General features: G+C 44.4%; 3 annotated features.

The window, feature by feature from the left end:
* Positions 857-1,462: an enhancer, noted in NCBI's record as "NANOG-H3K27ac hESC enhancer chr7:68330505-68331110 (GRCh37/hg19 assembly coordinates)". NCBI's record gives its function as "activates a minimal SCP1, AML or CMV promoter by ChIP-STARR-seq in naive H9 embryonic stem cells {active_cell/tissue: H9 hESC(naive)}" and the evidence as "EXISTENCE:reporter gene assay evidence [ECO:0000049][PMID:30033119]".
* Positions 1,463-2,068: an enhancer, noted in NCBI's record as "OCT4-NANOG-H3K27ac hESC enhancer chr7:68331111-68331716 (GRCh37/hg19 assembly coordinates)". NCBI's record gives its function as "activates a minimal SCP1, AML or CMV promoter by ChIP-STARR-seq in naive H9 embryonic stem cells {active_cell/tissue: H9 hESC(naive)}" and the evidence as "EXISTENCE:reporter gene assay evidence [ECO:0000049][PMID:30033119]".
* Positions 2,069-2,674: an enhancer, noted in NCBI's record as "OCT4-NANOG-H3K27ac hESC enhancer chr7:68331717-68332322 (GRCh37/hg19 assembly coordinates)". NCBI's record gives its function as "activates a minimal SCP1, AML or CMV promoter by ChIP-STARR-seq in naive H9 embryonic stem cells {active_cell/tissue: H9 hESC(naive)}" and the evidence as "EXISTENCE:reporter gene assay evidence [ECO:0000049][PMID:30033119]".

Below are 5,896 nucleotides of genomic sequence, written 5' to 3' on the forward strand. Positions count from 1 at the left end.
ATGACCTTCTTCTAGGAACACTTGGCTGGGAAGGGGAAAACGCTTCAAATGAGCATGCACACAACTTCAGTACACACACTGTGCATGCAGCCCCTCCCAAGTGCTTGCAGGCCACTGTGCATGTGGACAGCCCACCCCAAGGGAAGAATCAGGGGAGAAGAAATGCAAACCCAGAATCATGCCAACGTACAAAACCCCAAGTCAAGAGTTGGACGGAGCACTTGAATCTCTCAAGTTGCCTGCTTGGCCCTCTTCTAAGTGGAGTTTACTTCCTTTCATTCCTGCGCTATAACTTTTTTGTTGTTGTTTTAGAGGCAGGGTCTCAAGCTGTCATCCATGCTGAAGTACAGTGGTGTGATCTCGGCTCACTGCAACCTCTGCCTCCTGGGCTCAAACGATCCTCCCATCTCAGCCTCCCAAGTAGCTGGGACCACAGGTGCACGCCACCACGTTCAGCTAATTTTTTGTATTTTTTGTAGAGACGGGGTTTCACTATGTTGCCCAGGCTGGTCTGGAACTCTTGGGCTCAAACCGTCTGCCTGCCTTGGCCTTCCAGGTTCAGCTAATTTTTTGTATTTTTTTGTAGAGACGGGGTTTCACTATGTTGCCCAGGCTGGTCTGGAACTCTTGGGCTCAAGCCATCTGCCTGCCGTGGCCTTCCAAAGTGCTGGGATTACGGGTGTGAGCCACTGTTTCTGGCCTAAAACTTTTAAATAAGCTGTCACTCCTAATCTAAAACTTGCCTTGGTTTCTCCCTGTACCTTACACCCCTTAGTCGAATTCTTTCCTCTGAGGAGACAAGAATTGAGTTTGCTGCAGGCCCTGTGGATTCCCACTGCTAACAATACCTGACTAAGAGCAGGCATCCTGCCACTGCACTCCAGCCTGGGTGATACAGCAATACTCTGTCTCAAAAAAAAAAAAAAAAATGCTGGGCATAGTGACTCATGCCTGTAATCTCAGCACTTTGGGAGACTGAGGTGGGTGGATCACTCGAGGCCAAGAGTTCAAGATCAGCCTGGCCAATATGGCAAAACCTCATTTCTACTAAAAAAAATACAACAACAACAAAATAGCTGGGCATGGTGGCACGCACCTGTAGTCCCAGCCACGCTGGAGGCTGAGGCAGGAGAATCGCTTGAACCTGGAAGGAAGAGATTGCATTGAGCTGAGATCATGCCACTGCACTCCATCCTGGGTGATAAAGTGAGATTCTGTCTCAAAAAAAAAAAAAAAAAGAAACAACCAACAAGGCATAGTAATCTGTTGGAACATATCCAGAGGGAAGGAACTAACCCAGCCAAATGTGAACCATTTGATATAAGGGCCAAAGACCAAAACGTGCTGTAAAAGGAATTTAGGCAGGCCTGTGATGTCTGTCTTCAACTACTTGATGGGATGCCTTAGGGAGAGAATAAAGCAGCCTCATTCTATAAGTGCCAAAGAATAGAGCTAAGTTGGAAATTACAGGCAAGCTGGTTCAAATCCCTGCAAGCAATGTAACCTCTTGGACCAGCTGCTATTAATGGGATAATATTAGCCTGTACTTCCTAGCATGGCTGTGAAGACTGAATGAGATAAAGTATGTAAATGCGAAGCCCAGCGTCTGAAACACTGTAAACATTTGGTATTGTTACAAGGCAGGATTCTCTGTCTTCAAGTGGGAGAAAGGGGCAATGGTGGAAAATGGGATTTCTTCTCAGGGCTAATTTCAGGCCAGGTGTTTTGAAAAACAGAAACAAAAGCAGGCAGCTGAGCTGTGAGCTCGATGCATTTGATTCCTTTTCTGCCTGCTCTGCCAATGGATTGGGGAACTAGCCCCCCCATGTTTCCAACATGAGTAAGGAATATGTCCGTCTTCTTTATTCTGGTTTCCTACCACAGGCTTATGAGGACTAAGCTCTAATTATTTTATCTTGCCCAAATTCCTGTCTAAGGGATCTGGGGAGTCATGCCCTACAAACCATAAATTCTCATCAGATGGGTTTTATTTAACACTATATATCGTGACTTACTTTCCAATCTGACTCTGGCATAACATTATGAGACAAAGAAGAAAGTCAAAATATTTTACCCCAAAACATGTTTCTTTGCCATATCTTGAAATGGCCCTGCAAAGCTGTCCTTTGTGGGGGAAAATTTGCATCTGTAAAGAATCTCTGACATAGCTAGGTCTTTTTCTTCCAGGCCCTCCCAATGCTAAAGCGATTAATTAAGAGTCTAGCACCTTTTAATGATCTGAATAGGAAACATTTGTCATCTGTTGTCTCTAAGGGCAGCCACTGTGAGACTTCAGAAGAAACTTGGTCTCCCTAATCTTTTATCTTAACCTGAACATTTCCTTTCTATTGATCCCAGATCTTTACACAAACTCAACCGATTGTCAACCTGAAAACGTTTAAATTTACCTATAGCTTGGAAGCCTACCTCCCCACCCTCCACTTTGAGTTGTCCCACCTTTCTGGACCAAACCAATGTATTTCTTAAATGTATTTGATTGATGTCTCATGCCTCCCTAAAATGTATAAAACCAAGCTGCACTCCGACTACCTCAGGACATCCTGAGGGCTGTGTCACCAGCCATGGTCATTCATATTTGGCTCAGAATAAATCTCCTCAAATATTTTACAGAGTTTGACTCTTCATTGACACTTACATGACTAAAGAAATTATGTGCCTCAGCCGGGCACAGTGGCTCATGCCTATAATCCCAGCACTTTGGGGGACCAAGGGGGACGGATCACCTGTGGTCGGGAGTTCAAGACCAGCCTGACCAACATGGAGAAACCCTGTCTCTACTAAAAATACAAAAGTATCTGGGTGTGGTAGCACAGGCCTATAATCCCAGCTACTCAGGAGGCTGAGGCAGGAGAATCACTTGACCCAGGAGGCGGAGGTTGCGGTGAGCTGAGATCGCACCATTTTGCACTCCAGCCTGGGCAACAAGAGAAAAACTGTCTCAAAAAAGGAAAAAAAAAGAAATTTTGTGCCTCTTGTAATTGCCTGATGGGTTCTTCCTGCCTACTGCACAGGCAAAAAACCAATTCACTGAGACCACCGCATTGCAATAAAGACAGACTTAATTGACATGAGGCCAGTCACGCCACGTGGGAGACGGAGTTGTTACGCAAACTAATCTCACTGAAAATTCAGAGGTTAGGATTTTTCAAGGGTAGTTTGTTGGGCCAGGGAGTCTACTTCTGGGTGGGTCCAGGGAGACATTGGTTGTCAGAAATGCAAAACTCTGAGAAGATACCTCAAAAAGTTGGTCTTAGGTTCTACAATGGTGATGTTACCTGCAGGAATCATTGGGAGAGTTGCAAATCTTGTTACCTCTGGAATAATGGCTAGTAATCATTTATGTCTACATCTTAGCAAAATTCAGGCTTCTCTCATTGTCCTAATCTGGTGGTCTTTCTTTCTTTTTTTTTTTTTTAACTTTTATTTTAGGTTCAGGGATATATGTGCAGGTTTGTTATATAGGCAAACTCCTGTAATGGGGAGTTGTTGTCCAGATCATTTCATCACCCAACTACTAAGCCTAGTACCCAATAGTTATTTTTTCTGCTTCTCTCCCTGCTCCCACCCTCCACCTTCAAGTAGGCTCCAGTGTCTGTTGTTCCCTTCTTTTTGTTCATGAATTCACATCATGTAGCCTCCACTTATAAGTGAGAACACGGAGTTTTGGTTCTGTGTTCTTGCATTCGTTTGCTAAGGATAATGACCTCTAGCTCCATCCATTTTCCCACAAAAGACATGGTCTCATTCTTTTTTATGGCTGCATAGTATTCCATGGTGTATATGTACCACATTTTCTTTATCCAATCTGTCGTTGATGGGTATTTAGGTGGATTCCATGTTTTGCTACTGTGAATAATGCTGCAATGAACATTCACATGCCTGTGTCTTTATCACTGAATGATTTATATCCCTCTGGGTATATAACCAGTAATGGGATTGCTGGGTTGAATGGTAGTTCTGTTTTTAGCTCTTTGAGAAATTGCTACCCTGCTTTCCACAATGGTTGAACTAATTTACACTCCCGTTAGCTTTATAAAGGCAATTGAGTTTTGGGGAAGGGCTATTATTATTTAAACTGTAAACTAAATGTCTCCCAAAGTTAGCTTGGTGCAAGCTCAGGAATGATTCAGGGCAGTTTGGAGGTTAAAGGCAAAGTAGGGGTTGGTTACATCAGATCTCTTTCACTGTCATCATTTTCTCACTGTTACAATTTTTGCAAAGGCTGTTTCACTTTCACCCTTTAAGTAATTGCACATTCCCCAGAACACAGAATCATTTGTCCGAAAATCACTTTGTCTTGTAGCCAAAAGCTCTCTGCCTAACATGGGCCAATTAAGATGGGAGCAGCCTATTTGGTGAGAGACTCTGGCAACTGCAAGAACCCAATGGCCAGATCAGACCTCAGAGGTGCACTGACCAGAATCCCTACTTAGTGTCTCCCACGTGTGGGGAAGGCATGGGCAGCCTCTAGAATTACAGCCTCAACAGGGGACTGTGTCCCTGGCCAGACAGAGTCTCCAGCACAGCGCTGCCAGACGCTGTTGGCTTCCACCCCATGACAGGGCAGCACGGATGGACGCCAGGACAAACTAGGGCATGGACTGATGGAGGGATGCTGGCTGACGGTCAGCCTGAGAAAAAGGCATCTGTGCCCACACCTCCCACCCTCCAGCCACAACAAACCTTCCACTTGTTCCCCAAACTCATTGGCCTTTTGATTGCCTCTGTATGGATCACCTTGTTCCTTTCCCAGCCTGACCACCCAGAAAGCTGCTGCTCTTCCTGTTAAGTCAAGCACATAGCTCTTCTCCTTTGTAAGAATTTCTCCCATCCTCAAGCAGAAATAATTCATTTCATCATCTGCAATTCCACGACATTTTGTCCATACTTTATCTGATGGCACTAAAAATATTGTCTTAGAAATAATTATCTACGTGTCTGTCTCTTCCATCAGACCTAGATCTCCTGGAGTTTACAGACACTGCTTAGTTGTCTCTGCATCTTCAATTTTAAGTATTAATATTGTGTGGTAATCTGATTACTTTTATTTTTCCTTTGTCTTCACCGCCAGGAGACTGTAAACTGTATGAAGGCAGGAGCTGTGTCTGGTTCTCTGCTTGTTCTCCAAGATCCAGAGTAGTATATGAAATTTACTTTTTTTAAGTGACTGTATGAATGAATCGAAGGATGAGTAGATGGGTAGGTAAATGCTTGGGTGACTGGAAGAGGATTGTAGGAAAGAAGAGGGAGAAGGAGGGAAGGATAAATGGATGGATGGTGGGTAGATGGATAAATGGATGGGTGGTTGAAAGGAAAGGAAGAGGTGGGTAAGGGGTAAGGAGGGATGGATGAATGGATAGATGGTGGGTAGATGAATGGGTGGGTGGGTGGATGGATGGGTGGGTGGTGGGAAGGGGGAAGAAGTGGAGAGAGGGGAGGGTGGGATAAATGGATAGATGGTAGGTAGACGGATGAGTGAGTAGATAGATGGGTAGAGGGATGGTTAAAAGGGAAGAAGTTGAGATGGAGGAGGGATGGATGGATAGATGGATGATGGATGGATGAATGGATGGATGATGAATGGATGAATGGATGGACAAATGGATAGATAATTGGTGGATGGATGGATGGAAAGATGGATGGATGATGGATGACTGGATGGATGGATGGATGATGGATGGATGAATAGATGAATGGATGGATGATGGATGGATAGATGGATCAATGGATGATGGATGGATAGATGGATTGATAAAAGGATGCATTATAACAATGGGACCAACAAAAGTGAAAGAAAGAAAACCCACCACTGATACACAGGATGATGTGTAGGATGTCCAGAAAGTGTCATGGAGGAAGTGCTGCCTGAGTTGAG

This window comes from Homo sapiens, chromosome 7 (assembly GCF_000001405.40).
Source record: "Homo sapiens chromosome 7, GRCh38.p14 Primary Assembly".
In the NCBI taxonomy this organism is placed as follows: domain Eukaryota; kingdom Metazoa; phylum Chordata; class Mammalia; order Primates; family Hominidae; genus Homo; species Homo sapiens.